We start from the raw sequence: 17,731 nt of genomic DNA on the forward strand, positions 1-17,731 counted from the left end.
CTTATAGTCATATGGCAATTGAAATACGTTTTTCCAAAGACATAAATGCTATAAATGGTGGCACTGCAGACAGCCCACAGAAATTACTTCACCATTGAAACACTACACTTTTGCAACAATTAAAAATTGAAACCTATGCTACTATAATATTGATAACTAATCAAAACAAGAGAATCATTGAAAGAACCTCTTTTATTTCCTTGAAGTGTTTGAAGCTAAACGGAAAGTTGGCTTAATTAAAGCATGAAAGAGATGGAGATGATGACCTGGTGCTAGGTTTCTGGGGAAAACCGGGCACTTGTCACTCTTAAAGGCCAGTGACAATGTGTTTTTAGTACATATAACTTCATTTCCAAATACAGCCACCTGTCACTTAACAACAGGGATATGTTCTCAGAAGTGTGTCATTAGACAATTGCATTGTAGTGTAAACATCGTAGAGTATACTTATACAACCCTACATGGTATAACCCATTACATAGCTAGGCTATATGGTATAGCCTATTACTCCTATGCTACAAACCTGTACAACATGTTATTGTACTAAATACTGTAGGCAATACTAACACAGTAAGTATATGTGTATCTAAACATACTAAGCATAGAAAAAGAATAAAATATGCTATAAGAGATAAAAAAAAATGGCACACCTGTCTAGGGCAGTTACCACGAATGGAGCCTGCAGGACTGGAAGTTGTTCTGGGGTGAGTCAGAGTGAGTGGTGGGTGAACATGAAGGCCTAGAACACTGCTGTACACTACTGGAGACTTTATAAACACTGTATCCTAAGGCTACACTAAATTGATTTAAAAAATTTTTTCCTTCTATAGTAAATTAATCTTAGCTTACTGTAACTTTTACTTTATAAACTTAAAATTTTTAACTTTTTGATCTTTTGTAACAAAGGTTAAAACACATTATTCAGCTGTACAAAAACATTTCCTTTCTTTATACACTTATTCTATAAGCTTTTCCTATTTTTAAAATTTATTATCCTACTTTTTAAACTTGTTTGTTAAAAAGAAAACATGAACATTAGCCTAGGCCTACACAAGGTCAAGATCATCAATATCCCACCTCTACATTCTGTCGCACTGAAAGGTCATCAGGAGCAATAACAAGCATGGAGCTGTTGTCTCCTATGAGAACGACACCCTCTTCTGGATACCCCCGAAGGACCCGCCCGAGCCAGTTTTACAGTTAACTTTTTTTTTAATAAGTAGGAGTACACTCTAAAATAACAATAAAAGATATATTATAGTAAATACATAAACCAGTAACATCATCGTTTTGTGTCAAGTATCACATTATGGTACATAATCGTACATGTTAGGCTTTTTTTTTTGAGACAGAGTCTCACTCTCACCCAGGCTGGAGTGCAGTGGCGCGATCTTGGCTCACCACAACCTCTGCCTCCTGGGCTCAAGCGATTCTCCTGCCTCAGCCTCCCGAGTAGCTGGGATTACAGGCGCCTGCCACCACACCCAGCTAATTTTTGTATTTTTAGTAGAGACGAGGTTTCACCATGTTGGCCAGGCTGGTCTCAGACTCCTGACCTCAGGTGATCCATCTGCCTCGGCCTCCCAGATTACAGGGATTACGGGTGTGAGCCACCGCGCCCGGCCCATGCTTGACTTTTATACAACTGACAGCACAGCAGAGGTAGGTTTTACACCAGCATCACCACAAACATGCGACTAACACATTGTGCTGAGACATCATAGGGGATAGGAATTTTTCAGCTCCACTATAATCTTATGGAACCATCGTCATATATGTGGTCTGTCATTGACTGAAATGTTATGTGGGGCATGACTGTACAGGTAGGAGAGGCATATCATCAATACTGCTCTGTGTTTGTAAACCATGACCTGAATCACTTAGTGTCATATGGATAGAGCAAAAGAAGGAAGAAAGATACAGAAATAGATGACATTTTCTCACCTTAATGGAAGAAGAATTAAAGAGATGGGGGTTTAAAGAGGATGTGTGTTTTAAGACTGTGAGAAAGAGCTCTGTTCCAGGTACAATTACACAGTGAAGCTGAAGTGAGGAAATGGGAGGAGTGGAACATGCAGGCTCTTCCCCTGAGAGAGAGGAAAGGAGTTCACAGAGTACTGACAGCTTTCCACTTTGTTTTAGAGTTACGTTTACAGCCGAGTTCAAGTGTTATCTCTCCTCCTCCACTCTTCCCCAAAGATTTCGACCATATTTTATAAATGTCTGTACTCCCCTTAGTACTCAGATCCTTGAACCTTGCAAACGTCTGTGCTGAATGAATGATGAAGAAAAAAAATGTTGAATCATCTAAACAGGACACTAATCATAGAAAATGGAACCAGCGGCATAAGAAGGCTTTGCTTATAGGGGGCAAAAGAAGAAATCAAGTGAATTGAAGGAGGGAAGTATGCAATTGACCATTTATATGTATCTAAATCAACTTCAGGTATTCAGAATTTGAGTGATCATAGAGATAAATAAAAGAAAGATGAAGATGTCTGAAGAGTATTAGATGCTTCTAGAATTGTGTTTATAGAGTGGAAAATTCTAGCCCTCCAAGATTTAGTAACCTGTTTCTTTCTCAAGAGAAGTTAGTCTGACCCCGTCTTCTACTAAGCCTGAGCGGTCTGCCCTGACCCAGACCGCCTCATGGACCACTTCTATAGAGGCAGTATATGCTGAAAAAAACATTTAGAGTTTAGAGGACAGAAAAGAAAGAAACGTAGCAAACAGAGAAAGAGAGATTGTTCAGGACAACTGACCTAAGTTGAGTTCAGAGACCAAGAAGTTACATCAAAACACTTGGTTCATAAATAAAAATAATTAATAATCCCAACAAATTTAGAAAGACGGCTGGGCATGGTGGCTCACACCTGTAATCCTATCACTTTGGGAGGCTGAGGTGGGTGGATCACTTGAGCTCAGGAATTTGAGACCAGCCTGGGCAAATGGCGAAACCCGGTCTCTACAAAGAATACAAAAATTAGCCAGGCATGGTGTCACGCACGTGTAGCCCCAGCTACTTGGGAGGTTGAGGCGGCGGGAGGATGGCTTGAGCCCAGCAGGCAGAGGTTGCAGTGAGCCAAGGTTGTGCCAGCCACTGCACTCCAGCCTGGGCGACAGAGCTAGGCCCTGTCTTAAAAAAAAAAAAAAAAAAAAAAAACCTAGAAAGACTATTTGACTTCACATTATTTGGCCTTACAAGAAGAAAATCAATGTGATAATATAGAGGTGAAATTCGAAAGTGAATTAGAGTTTATATTAAAAAACAATGTTAACATTCTGTTAGCTTGTTAGAGATTAGCTCTGAACCAGGGAGACATTTCATATTGCAGAATAGCATTTTCGTGGTTAGGAACTGATTACATTCTACTCAGAATCTCTATTTTAACGTTCTACAAAACTTAGTAAAGTCATGTGTAAAGACACACACTTTGTTCCTGGGTGAGATTTTTATAATGCAAGCTGCTTACAGGAATGAATTTTATGGAATCATATATCTAGACACTTGTACTACTTCACATCTTTTAATAATTACATAAAGAAAATACATAAAAGAAAAACATATTTTCCTATTAAGCTAAAATACTACATACATAGTCTTAAGTCACTGTTCTTAACACAAACATTTTCAGAGCTTTTCAGATAGCCTAGAAGAATGTAGTAGCACACATGATTAGTTGCCTAATCAATATTTATTCCTCTATCTCATCCTTCCTCTTAACAGAACTGATTTTGGTTGGGTATTCACCCTTCTGAGTAGTCACGTGCTTCGGGGAGGACCAGCACCAACCCCAGACCCAACTGATGAATCCTATTAGTCTAATTATAGTGGATCTATTTCTATCACCAGGGATAAGCTGGGCCATGCTAAGATGTTAACTCTGGCCAACAAGATATGAAGAAAAGTGTGTAGAGTGTGGAGGTGGGAACATGGGAACATAAACAGGAGGAAATGCTGTTGCTCTTAAAAAGAAACAGAAATGCACAAGGCCACTGGGTATTGTGCCTAGACACTGCAGTGTCTGGATATGATGGCTGGAACTGAAGCCATCTTGCAACCATGAAGGAAGCTTGCCTGGGGCTCATGGCATCACATCAAGGATGGCACAGCAGAAACAAGAAGGGAAATCGGAGTCTCTGATGATGTTTTCAACCTCAAAAGAATCAATCCTCTTTAAAATTTCCTGGTTATATATGGGATAGTAAGTTGTCTGTATTTAAATTTTGATTTGGGTTTACTGTTATTCGCAGCCAAAAGGATTCTAGCTGCATAAGTCTGAATTATTTCAAGCCTCTGGGTAAATGTTAACAGACGGTGCTATTACTGTGGGGATTAGGAATGACAACAACAGAGTGTGCTACTTAATTTACTAGCAAGACTGTATTTCAAAGCTGGTTACTATGTTATGTCGTTCTCCCTGTCGGCACTCTTCACCCACCCCACAAACAGATACATATATCACAGTCATGCAAGTTAGGTACTAATCTTGCTGATCAGTTCACCAACTGTATTATAGGCACTATCTTCCCCATACTAATGGTCAAATCATTGGGAAAATGGAAATTATGTTCTTCTGACAAAATGTTAGAAGATTCTAACCTAGAATATAAAGTTCATTCTCTCAAAGAGGCATTTTGGTTATTATAGAATTTTTAAAGGTCTACAATTATGAAATTTTCCTAGATTCAAATGTATTGACTACCTACTATATGTAGGACGCTATTTTACATTTTTATCTGACAATGTGGGATAATTTACAGTGTATTTAGCTGTAACTAAAACTAATCCTTTCTGTTGCTGCCAAGATATATCTCAAATATATATGTCTTTCTCACAGTAGATATATCTACTGCTCCTAATAATCAGAAATATGCCTTTCACCTGCTTTAATCAGTATCCCGACAGCAGTATTCCCCAAACTGTTGGATGGAAAAAAAATGGCAATATATGTTCTTTGAGAGAGAGAGAGAGAGAGAGAAGGGAAGAGAGAGAATCTCCATGGTCAAATAATTTAGGGAAATGCTCATACTGCATGCTATATCCCACTCTTGATGATTCTCAAAACACATTATAGCACAGGTCTGAGAAACCTGTCATTATTTAATTCAGCATTTCTAGTCAGTGAATAACAGAAAAATCTATTTTTCACTAAACATCTCTTAATTTCTTGAGAAAACTAGTATTCGTTAAAACATAGGACATATATTCCCCATTAACATAGCTGCTACTCAATTTAGAAGTGGCACTCCCTTTCAAGGCCTTGCATCACATTCTCCATGCCCACCAGCCAGTGGTACAGAATGCAATCACTTCTCAAATAATTCCTAAAGCAATGGTTTTATCACAGAATACTCTGATACAAAGACTTCTAAATGAATCCCAATGTTCTGTAAAATTCAAACTAGTCTCCTGACATGTCTGTTTTCCACACTCACTGATAGTCTCAGAACCTACTACAGTGCCTATGCAGACTAAGTGACCATGAATCCTTGCTCTAGGAATGAATGACTGAATGAACACTTCCACATGTCCTCTCTTTCCTCATCTGATTCATCTTTTAATTTTCTTAGACATGTACAATGTGTGTTCCAACTTCTACATCTCTGTTTATGTTACATGATCCCATATGCAACACCCTCTTCTCTACCTATTGAAATCCTGACCATCCTTTCAAGTCCGGATTCAACCCAGACTGCTACATGGAGAATGGCCTCATCCTCCTCTGACCTCTTATCCCCTGACAGTCAGTGCCAGAGAGTTTGATTCTCACATTTCCTAAACTAGTTTCCATGTTGGTCTTACCTCTCAATAAATGGTAAACTCCTTGAAATCTCAGACATGTTATAAACTACTTTTGTATATACCAGGATGCCAAGGTCCATAAGGAGTATTCAATGAAAAAATTAAGAGTATATTTTATTTAAAAGTTCAATGTATAACAACAATAGCTGGAAATTCCTGAGATTTCCAAACTGTACATTACTCAAATCAGTAGTTACAAGGACCAAGTTCTGAATAAAGAAATATTATCCAAGTTCTAAAGAAACTGTTCCCTCTGGCTTTAACCTCTTAGACTCCATTTTCTCATTTGGAAAATAGCTCAGTGGTATTGCTCTACAGGTATTGAAGGGGCAAGAAATACTGCTTGTAAACCCCCTGATAAATGAAGACTTTATCTCATACTCCTGGAAGCAATCCTGACGTCTTAAATTATGTAATCCTGGTATTACATTATATTAGTCTGGCCCATATAAAATGTAAGCTACAAAAATACCAAAGCTAAGAAAAAATATTTACTCATGCTTTTACTAAGATGCAGAAAGAGGATACATGCATTGCCAAAATTCCATAGAACATGCTCAAACTAAAGCAACAATGCCTTAGTTATTAAAGAAGGCAATAGCCTGAAGCAGTACTTAGAAATAAAGATTACTTCGTCCACGTAAGAGTCAATATTTAAGAACACAATGACTAATTCCCACTTCAAGTTCATGAAAACATTTCTTTTGAAGAACTTCTTTTCAGTTAAAAACTTTATTTGTGGTTCTCCTACCTGTAATCTATGAACCTAAGAATGAACAAAAACTTGAAACATGAAACTCTCTAATAGGCCAAAGTGTCAGTACAGACTTAATTCTGACTTTAGGAACATCTCAACCAGGGTTACACAAAACTTGTACTTTACCTCTCAGTCTCCAAAAATACTCATTTATCTACTCTGCCTAAAGAGTAGATAAATGATTGAATGTTAATTCTACAAACAACTCTGGAAAATGCATGAATGACACTCCAGACTATACCAAAACACTAGAGCTCTTAACTTACTTTCAAATCATTAATATTTATAATCTTATGATAATTAAAGCACCTCTTTGAGAAAATTAACTTCATACTTTAAATCAGAATCATCTGAATCCAAACTACTATTACTGTTGCTAACAGAAACTTCATTTCTAAATAATCGACTGATTTTTTAAAATGTTTTAGTTGAGCTTATTGTGAACTAAAAATAACCATTAAATTCTATCACCAGCACTAGCTCTGTGACCTTACACAAATTGCTTAACTTTTCTGCACCTCAATTTTCAGATCTGCAAAATGAGAATGAGACTGGATGACTTCCTAGGTCCTCTCAAAGATAAAAACAAATAATAATAATGGTTATTAGTATCATTTTAATTAAAGATATCAATGAAAGACATAAGCACACACTCTAGAGAAAGAGTTAAGTCTAGAGAAATCATAAGAATTATCATAAGCCTCAAAATCCTCTATCAATAGCACCAAACTATTATCAAACATAAGAGTTTTATAGAGATAAATGTTAAAAAAAAAAAAAGTTAACTTCTTGCTAGCAACACTGATATCCTTATTGGGGTAATTTCATTCATTCTCTACTTTCTAACCAGAAAACTAAGATTTCTACCTTCATAGTTTTACGACATTCCCGGTTGACATTAGAAACCTTGAGCCTTGCTCCTCTCCTCCCTCACCTCTGTCTACATGAGAACAGCGAGGGGCTCATTGAGGTAAATAACATTCATGCACCAAAAAATACACATCCTTATTGTCTTTTACCGTCCAGATAAAGAATCTTAAAGTCAACCCAAAACAAAATTCTCCTCTGGTTTACTCCTACCTTTCCTGCTAAAATCAACCTACTATGTGGGAGATTTGAGATTATTGGTCAACATTCAGACTTTGGGTGAAGTGGCTAATTTCCCAAAGAGTCTGACAAAATAAAATCTAAAGCCAACTCCAAAAAGGTGACACCCTGCCCATGAGGGAATCCGTTGTTTGGTGTGTAACAGCATGTGCTCTGCAGATGGAGCTCGCTTTGTGTTCTAGTTCTGCCACTTTCTGGCTGTATGGCCACAGGCAAGTAGCTAAACCTCATGAGCCTTAGGTCCCTCTTCTGTGAAATGAGGATGATACTGCCTACCTCGCAGAGCTGTGATCTCGGCTAAGTTAGACATGTATAAAGGGTCTGGCATGGCCCACGCACTAAAGAAATGTTACCTTCCTTCACAACTTCTCCTGTCCTTCTACACAACTGAACAGAGACTCCAGCACCACAGATAACTGCCATATTCTTCATCAGACTTGGAGTCCCCTAGGGCAGAGAGTATTTCTGATTTATCTTTGGATCCCAGTAACTAGCAGAGGGCCTGGCCCAGAGTAAAAACATAATAAATGCTTGTTCAGTGGAGAAAATTAGAACTGTTTGGGTTTGAGGATGTTAATATTACCCTGGCCGCTCACGCCTATAATCCCAGCACTTTGGGAGGCTGAGGCAGGCGATCACAAGGTCAGGAGTTCAAGACTAATCTGGCCAATGTAGTGAAACCCCATTTCTACTAAAAAAAAAAAATTTCAAAAAATTAGCCAGGTGTGGTAGTGTGCACCTGTAATCCCAGCTACTCGGGAGGCTGAGGCAGGAGAATTGCGTGAACCCGGGAGGCAGAGGTTGCAGTGAGTTGAGATCCTGCCATTCAACTCCAGCCCAGGCAACAGTGCGAGACTCTGTCTTGGGGGGGAAAAAAAAAAAAAAGAAAAAAAAATTACCCCGGCCACAGTCAAAAGAAAATTCTGTTTTTCAATTTGGCCAAATAGGGCTTGCTACAAGTTACTATGTAGTTCGAAGCAAATAAGCTATTCTGAATTCTAATAATTACATTCTCTAAAATATGAAAACCCAATTGCCCTGCAGCTTTCAATTTTAGTTTTGAGAATTCAATTCTTTCCCAAACAATAGCGTGGGTAACCACAGAAACTTGTGGAATCTCTTTTCCTAGAAAACATGAAGAACAGGAGAGAAGCCAGTCTGTCTGGAAATTGCTTCAAAATCTCTCTATAAGCACGATGCTGGACTGGATTAGATGCCCCTTGAAGGATCCTTCCAGACCTACACCACTAAAATGCTAAGAAAAATAACTAAAATAATTCTCTATCACTTATACCCTGGAAAATAAAATAAATACAATTTAACATCTCCCAACATAGTCACTAGAAACAATTTTACTTGGATCATCCCATGATTTTAGAAACACATTTTCTTCTTAAATTGTACTAAATTATCCTAAGCTATTAATTTGAATATGAGCTCTCTTTAATAAGACAGAATAGAGATTGTACTTAACACAGTAAACAAAACTATTATTTTGTTCCTCTTTCAATCTACCTGTTTCCATGTACCCCAAATCTACTCATTTCCCAATGCCTTGTAAAAAATACTACTTCCCCCCAACATATACTCCACTCAATTCTACCATTTATAAATTTCTAATGTGTTCATCACTCACATCACATTGTACAGGTGATTTTTATATGGTGTCTCCTATTTGTATCTGACTCACATGTAACAATTTTTGTCTTCCTAACTGAACTGTAAACTCCTTGAGTAAGATCCAAGTTTTATATTCTTCATGTACTCCCCTATTATGTTAATACTGAGTTCATGATAAGTGCTTTCAAATTCTCATTGGCTCACTGATTTAAGGTGGAGAGTGTGCAAAAGCTAGACAATGCTATACATTAAGAACCTGCATGAAGCTTTGGCAAAGCACACTCCAAGAAGTCAAAAATAAACCTTTTCTGATTGCTACATATTGACATGTATCATTTAGCTGGGACTCACAGCTGAAAGTTAATACACACAGGGGCTAAAAGGAAAGACCTAGAGCTAAGCGCCATATTAGTTTAGCTCCTGTCCTGTAAGAAATGAGGAGCTATGAAGCTGAGCTCACTCACATGGAGATGGAGGCTATTTTAGAAAACATGCATATTGCACAGGTTGCAGAGCTTTGCTGGTTCTGATTTTACATAAAATCAGTTCTTCATTCTGTCAGGCCAAGTCAGTCACGCAGCAATAAACAGAAAGGAAAAGAGCTTTAAAAGTTAAAATGTAATAATATTACTTTAAAAGCACAAGTGAAACTTCTGTTTTCTCATTCTTTAAAACCCAAAAAACACATCTAAAATAAGACTAATGGGTGCAAAAATTCAGTCATTACAGGTACCCTCTACACACTTACAAAGGATCCTCTGCTCCTTTCTTTATATATGAAACAGGAACTTCTTGTCTGTACTATGCGACAGGGACTGTTCTACGGCACTGGGAATACATCATTTTACCAAACTTACAATTCCAGTAACATTATGTAAAGCCTTACTTTAGTATTTTAAAAAAAGAAAAGACCTCAGGAATATTCCAAACCTTATTTTACAGAGAAGAAAACCAAAGCCCAGAGAGGTTGGCTATTTTGTCTCAGTTGATTATAGTGGTTATATTGTAACAAACGCAGGAGTAGAAACCAGATTTCTTATTTCTCCTCTAGTAACAAAATTTACTTATTCATTAGGCAATTATTCCTATATGCCTTCTATATGCCAGATACTATGCTAGACTCTAGGTACCCAAGAATGGTTAAGATACTGACCTTGTCCTCAAAAAGCACGGTCTTAAGAGCAAGACAATCAGATGAGTACAATCACAGAAGTGGTAACAGAAAGAAAAACCAAACTATATCTCTAATTGCCTAGGACTTCCAATATGTTAAAGAAAATGAACTTCTAATAGTTTGTTTTATCCTCACAATAGCCCTAGGAGTAGACAGCACAGATCTTATTATTCCTGGTATATAGATGGAGAAACTGAAGTGCAAAGTGGATAAGGGGGCCTATTAAGGTCATCTCCAGTGGCAGCAAAATGCCTAGAAACCAGGTTTGTTTACTCCAAGTCAGACCTTTATTTCCCATTAGATGGAAAAAGCAGATGTTCTTTTTATGTCCAGTTCCCTCTGACCAAGAACACACATTTCCAAATTGCGAGCAGGACAATCTGTGGTTGTGAAAGGAAACAACTGACTTGTGAGGTGTGTCACCGGCTGAGGTTAGTTATCCGGTGGATAAGTAACCAACCAAGATATCATTATTACTAGCCTTCTTAAAGTGCCCATTACGTACCCAGAACAGATGAAAAAGGTCCTTCCTTCAGAAAGTTAATATTGGAAGGAACAGGCATATAAACATTTAAACAAAAAGTGACATAATTAAACAAACTAAAACTAAAAGAACCATCACAAGCAACTGCAAATTTAAGACACTAAAGGTTTTGCAAAGCAAACCTAATGGGAGCTGCCAAGAAATATATCTTCATGGGTTAAACAGGGAACAGAAGCCTTGTACACATAATGGTCCATACCGATCTTCAGATTACTAAAATTAAAAGCTCTCACATTCTTCACAGTTAAAAACTTCTCATTCCTATTTCCTTTTTTCTAGAAATCTTATATATTTTGTAATCTTTCCTATCCAAGAGGAATAAATTTATAATGGAGGTTTCCATCATTGTAACTTTGGCAAAAAATTAAAATTGTATAGTATCACTGCCCTATTCTTCCTCCCTCAGATACAACCTAAATGAGGTTTTCTCATTTTCTGATCATTTTCTCCTATACATAGTAAAATGTATATATATTTATATATATATTCAAGAATCACTTCATAAAAAACAAAAAAAAATTTTCTTCAAGTTCAGTTTTAAACATTAATTTTACTTGTTTGATGACTTAATATCATATTTCATTTATACCAGTATTTATCAAGGCCTTATAACATGACCCAACTGTTTTAAACTGTAGCACACTGGAGAATTATTAACAAAATAGACAAAGCTAAGGAGAAACAAATATTAGTGATTTCAAGTTAGTGACAGGAAGAATTTCTTTAAGAACAGGCTAAAAAATAAAAATTATAATCATCCCTCCACAAGAGTAATGTTTTATTTATTTAAAAAATACTCAGTTAAAAAAAAAATTAAAAAGCTCTCTGGTATTGCCTGAACATGCTCAAGGGATTTATACTTACAGCCAGTTACCTTCCTTTTAAATATCTGGTGAATGTTACAGGGTGACAAGAAGCAATTTAAATGATAATTCGGAAATACCATAGTAGGTTTCATTAGAATTATCACTAGTACATCACAAAATGATTTCATATTTTTTTAATTCCTAAGATTTAGTTCCATCACACAAAAATGCATTTCAATAAACATTAGCTTAAAACTTAAATATGAAGCATAATGACTTTTTTAGGGAAGAAGGGAATAGGGCTTTGAATATAACTCTAGATCCTCAAGAGAAAGACCACTGGGCCAAACTGGATCCTAAATAAAGTTAAGGAAGTAATTAAATGTGCAGCAACAGTGACATCTAGTGTTAACAACTGCAAGTCAATTAGATTACCATTAAATCCTCTTAAGTGCTAAAAAACAACTATTCAAAGCTTTTCTTCTTTAAAAACAAACAGATCTTGTGCATTTTTATCTAAAAACTACCCAAAATCAAAATGGTTCCACAGGTTTCTTTTCAGGCATAACAAAAAAGCTGTTTTTTAAAGACAAAAACAAATTAGAGGTTAAACATAAAACTAAAGACCAAAAGTAAAAAGCACTGTTTATTTCTTGTGGTTAACACATATAGGTGCTCCTCTTAGTACAAGAGTTTAATGCAAAGGTAATGTGAGAGATGTTCTAATGAGAGGATCATAAACATTTAAACTTCCACCTATAAAATTAAAGATATTATACAAGCTAGGATAATATATACAAGTAAAGTTAAGACATTTCAGGACTACTTAAAGAAGATGCAATTAAAAAAAAAAAAACAAAAAAAACACTAGCTTTTGCATGGAGAAACAAGCTCTACATTTCACCCCTTGCTACCTTGCTAAATTTTTGTTGCTTTGAAAGGTCCACTTATTAAACAGTTGATATTTTTGCCCAAGGGTTTATAACTTGGCAGCATAGGTTAATTCATTACAGTATTTTTATAGTTTTATGCTCTAGATGAATCTATAACAGTAGGCACAATTTCAAAATTTGTTTTTGGCCAGGACAATATTGTATTTTTTAAAAAAAGTAAAGTTAGCCTTAAATGGAGCTTACCTATTTGTTTTGGAATGTTCATCCTTTGCCCTTTTAACTCCAAAAATTCTTGTGATCAAGGCACTAAAGAGAAGTGTGGATGAATTTCGCACCTAATGTACAAACGAAAACACAATAAGGCTTAAATATTCTTGGCATGAAACCAACGTTTACAATGTTCAAACTAGATAATTCAAAATCATTACCTAACTGGCTAGTGTGAGGCTAAAAAGACAGATTTGTGTTCATAAAATAATTTAAAAAAAAAACTTGACAGTCATCGATTCAATGACTTCAATTGAGCTCTACAACCCAATCACATGCACACAACACAGCCTTTTCCTATATTCCTAATATTACCATCAACAGTTTTCACTAATCTCTGCACTTAGAGCATCAAATAACACTTTTCTAAAAATTCATTTTTCTATATGCTTCCTGACAATGAAGATTGCAGTAAAACCTCAGCTCTTTCCATTTATTTTCTGAAATCATTTTACCTACGAGAAAATACTTATAAAACCTAACTTCAAAGAACCAGGCCCAGTGGCTTACACCTGTAATCCCAGCTACTTGGGAGGCTAAAGTGGAAGGACTGCTTGAGGCCAGGAGTTTGAGACCAGCCTGGGCAATACAGTAAGACCCCCATCTCAAAAAAAAAAAAAAGTATTTTTTTAGAGATTTTTTTGTTTGTTTTGCTTTTGACTTTTTGTTGTTGTTGTTATTTTTACAGCCATGGCACATGCCTATAGTCCCAGGTAGTCAGAAGGCTCAGGCAGGAGGATTGCATAAGGCCAGGAGTTTGAGGCTGCAGTAAGCTATGATTGTGCCACTGTGCTCCAGCCTGGGCAAAAGAGTGAGAACCTGTCTTTAAAAAAACAAAAAGAAAATCCAAAAATCCTAACTTCAAAGAATCCAGGTAATTAATATGGCTAAGAAAATAGTTAAATCCAAAATGTTGCTTATCAGCTTCACAATGCAAGTAACTTACCAAGTAATTTCAATACTGAAATTAACTGATAACATTAGTAAAGATAAGAGGCAGGAATTACCATGAATAAACACAAATTATTTCTCCAAGATGATAATAATCTTTTCCCTATCTTTTCCAAACCAATGTGTCAAGATGCTTTGGAAGAGCATAAAAGGGTCTTGACTGTTTTGGCACTATAGGCTTCCTCAATTACTCTGTAAAAATCGGTGTAGAGATATATATGTACTCACCTTGCTACAGTGTGTAAGGCCCTATACCAGCACCATGGATAAGATCCAGAAACAGAAAACACATACTTACTGGTATTACAGACCTTATACTCTAATTAAGTAAGTGACATAACCACATGGTGTGTTAAATAGCAATATAAGTAGAAAGATCACTAAAAGTAACGTTAAGATTTAGAAAACAGCTTCCTGAAAGCAATGCCCTTAGAGTCACAAGCTCAAATGCTCACAGGAAAAGTGAGTGACACAGGCAGCAGTGGACTTGGTCTAATGCAGTCAGTGTCAGCTGAGTTGCTGCCATGAGGAAATATAAGTCCAGTTTTGCCAGATCATCTGCTTTTTCAAGAGAAGCCAGGAACCCTGGTTTTTATGTGAAATCTATTTTGAAATGCTGGCAGGAAATTAAAGGAAAAAAAGAACCAAACACCATGAAAGCCAAATAAAACAGTGGTAGGCTAGTTTGTCCTACTGGCCACCAGTTTGTAACCTCTCCTCTAGAAGCCCAGAACTGACTCAAGTCATGCATGGTAGCCATAGAAGTGAACTTTACAGATATACTGGCACAATCCATATCAAAAATGCAATAAAACCCTAAAACTGAACAGATTCACTTACGTTCATTCAACAGCCATCAAACATCCAAGGAGGCCCTACTATGTGCCCTGCCTAATTTAATCCCCAAATAACAAATCAATCCATGCTGTTACTTTATCAATATAATCTCTGCCCTCATTCAGGTCTGGATTATCTTCTACCTGATCTAGTGAGGTAGTTCCCAAAGACTTTTAGGTCTAAGATGACTTGGTAAAGATATCTGGGACCTTCTCTCCTCTCAGAAATCACACAAAAACACAAAAAGAAAAGGAAAACAGAAACACAGACTCCATCTTGCCCTAAGCCATACTTTCTGACAAAGGCTGCCAGATGCAGTAAAATTAAAACAGGAGTGCCTGGAGATGTTGAGAAATGCACACCTTAAACAAAACTGTAGAGGACTATTTTACAAAGTGAATGGATACCCTCTGAAACAAAACTCCTTTGATTCAATAGACTGACGGCAGGAGACACATGTCTTTTTAGTAATATTAAGATGGACCAGACAGTTCTAATCCTATCTGCCTGATCCATCCTGATATGGTCTGAATATTTGTGTTCCCCAAAAATTCACATGTTGAAATTCTAACCTCCAAGGAGTTAGGTGGTGGAGGCCCTTGGGAAATAATTAAGTCATGGGGGTAGAGCTCTCACGAATGCGATTAGTGCCCTTATAAAAGAGGCCCCAGTGAGCTGCCTCACTTCTACCATGTGAGGACACAGCTAAAAGGTGCTATCTATGAACCAGAAAGTAGGCCTTCACCAGACACTGAATCTGCCACCATATTGATCTTGGACTTTCCAGCCTCCAAACTGTGGGAAATAAATTTGTGGTATTTTGTTATAGCAGCCCGAAGGGACTAAGATATCCCTTATAAAGTGCCCTCATTAGCGATCAATGATGATCATTACATTTTCCATTAGGTGCAGCAAAATCACGATATTCTATAGGCCTTCTGCATTAATCATTTACATCCTCAGAAAAACTTTATTTTTTTAAAGTTTTTCCTCATCTGCTATTTGGTTACCCTGTTCATCAGTTAGTAAAGAATTATTTCCATATATTGATCATTTTCAGAATAATTAGTTCATGCCATACCAACCTCCAAAGGTGACTGCATGATTGTTTTAAAATCACTTTTAAATTACTTTTTTAAATTGAGGTATAATTCACATATAAAATTTATTATTTTAAAGGATGCTATTCAGTGGTTTTTGCTATATTAACAAAGTGTGAAGCTATCACCACTAACCAAATTCCACAATATTTTCATTACCTCAAAATGAAACTCGGGAGCCGTTAGTCGTCACTCCCTATTCTCCTGCAGTAGGAAAGCACAATCTACTTTGTGTCTCTATAAACTTGCCTTTTCTGGATACTTCATATACATGGGATCATGTAGTATGCGGCCTTTAATGTTTGGCTTCTTTCACCTAGCATAATGTTCTCAAGGTTCCCCCATGTTGTAGCATGTATCAGTATGTTATTCCTTTTTTATGGCTTAATAATATCCCATTGTACAGATATACCGTATTTTTAAAATCTGTTCTTCATTTGACGGACATTTGGGCTATTTCCAATTTGGAATATTATGAATAATTTTGCTAAGAATATTCATGTACAAGTTTTTGTGTGAACATGTTTTCATTTCTCATGACTATATACCTAGAAGTAGTATTGCTTGGTCACAGAGTAACTCTATGTTTAACCTTCAAAAGAACTGCCAAAGTGGTAGCACCATTTCATAGTCTCACTGGCAATGTATTAGCGTTCCAATTTCACCAGTTCTCCAATTTCTCCACATCCTCCCTAATACTAGTTATTTTCCATGCATTTTATTTTAGTGGGCATGGAATGGTAACTCATTGTAGCATTTCCCTCATGACTAATGGTGTTAAGTATCCTTTTGTGTGCTTACTGGCCATCTGCCTATCTTTTTTGGAGATAAATATTCTTTGTCCATTTTAAAATTGGGTTGTCGTTTATTATTGAGTTATAAGAGTTCTTTATATATTCTGGACACTCCACTCTTATCAGATGTATAATACGCAAATATTTTCTCCCATTCTGTGGGTTGTCTTTATACTTTCTTGATTGTGTCCTTTGAAAAACATTTTTTTTCTTGATGCTGGTTAAGCTTTATTTAAAAAAAATTTTTTTTAACTTTTCTAAGACAGCTTCTTGCTCTGTCGCCCAGGATGGAGTGCAGTGGTGTAATCATAGCTCACTGCAGCCTTGAATTCCTGGGCTCAAACAATCCTCCAGCTGCAGCCTTCCGAGTAGCTGGGACTACAGGTGCATGTCACTATGCCCAGCCAGACATTTTTAATTTTGATCGAGTCTAATTTATCAGTTTTTTTCATTCCCAGTCTAATTTATCAATTTTTGTATTGCTTGTACCTTAGGTGTCATATCTAACTAAATGTTATCTAATCCAAGGTACAAAAATTTACCCAGGTCCTCTTCTACAAGTTTTATAGTTTTAGCTTTTACATTTAGGTTTTTAAGACATTTTGAGTCATCTGAATATGGTATGAGATGGGGATCACATTCATTCTTTTGCATGTGGATATCCAGTTGTCCCCGTACCATTTGTTGAAGGCTATTCTTTCTCTACTGAATTGTCTTGGCACCTTTATTAAATGTGGGGGTTTATTTCTGTACAATCAATCCTAATCTGCTGATTTATGTGCCTAACCTTATGTCAATGCCACAAGCTCTAATTTACTGTTGCTTTGCATTAAGTTTTGAAATTGGGACCTGTGGGGCCTCCAACTTTGTTCTTTTTCAAGATTGTTTTGGCTATTATGGGTCCCTCACATTTCCATATGTATTTTAAGATCTGCAAAAAAAAAAAAAAAAAAAAGCTAGAAGGGATTTAACAGAGGTTGTGCTGAATCTATAGATTAATTAATTTGGGGAATACGTCATCTTAACAATAGTTAAGTCTTCCAGTGATGAACACAGGAGATCTTTCCATTTATTT

General features: G+C 36.5%; 1 protein-coding gene across 7 annotated transcripts in view; it reads right to left on the minus strand.

Moving 5' to 3' along the window:
- THADA (THADA armadillo repeat containing) overlaps positions 1-17,731 on the minus strand; it is a 365,188-nt gene that overhangs the window by 241,433 nt on the left and 106,024 nt on the right. For 6 of the 7 annotated variants that reach the window (NR_144316.2, NM_001345924.2, NM_001345923.2 and 3 more), the window contains one exon: positions 12,951-13,042. The exons of the other annotated variant lie outside the window; for it this stretch is intronic. Coding sequence is in view for 5 of the 6 variants with exons in the window: in NM_001345924.2 (NP_001332853.1) it covers positions 12,951-13,042 (92 nt within the window). In the remaining variant the exon portion in view is untranslated. The remainder of the gene's footprint in view (positions 1-12,950; positions 13,043-17,731) is intronic. 7 annotated transcript variants of the gene reach the window in all.

Source organism: Homo sapiens, chromosome 2, assembly GCF_000001405.40.
Source record: "Homo sapiens chromosome 2, GRCh38.p14 Primary Assembly".
In the NCBI taxonomy this organism is placed as follows: domain Eukaryota; kingdom Metazoa; phylum Chordata; class Mammalia; order Primates; family Hominidae; genus Homo; species Homo sapiens.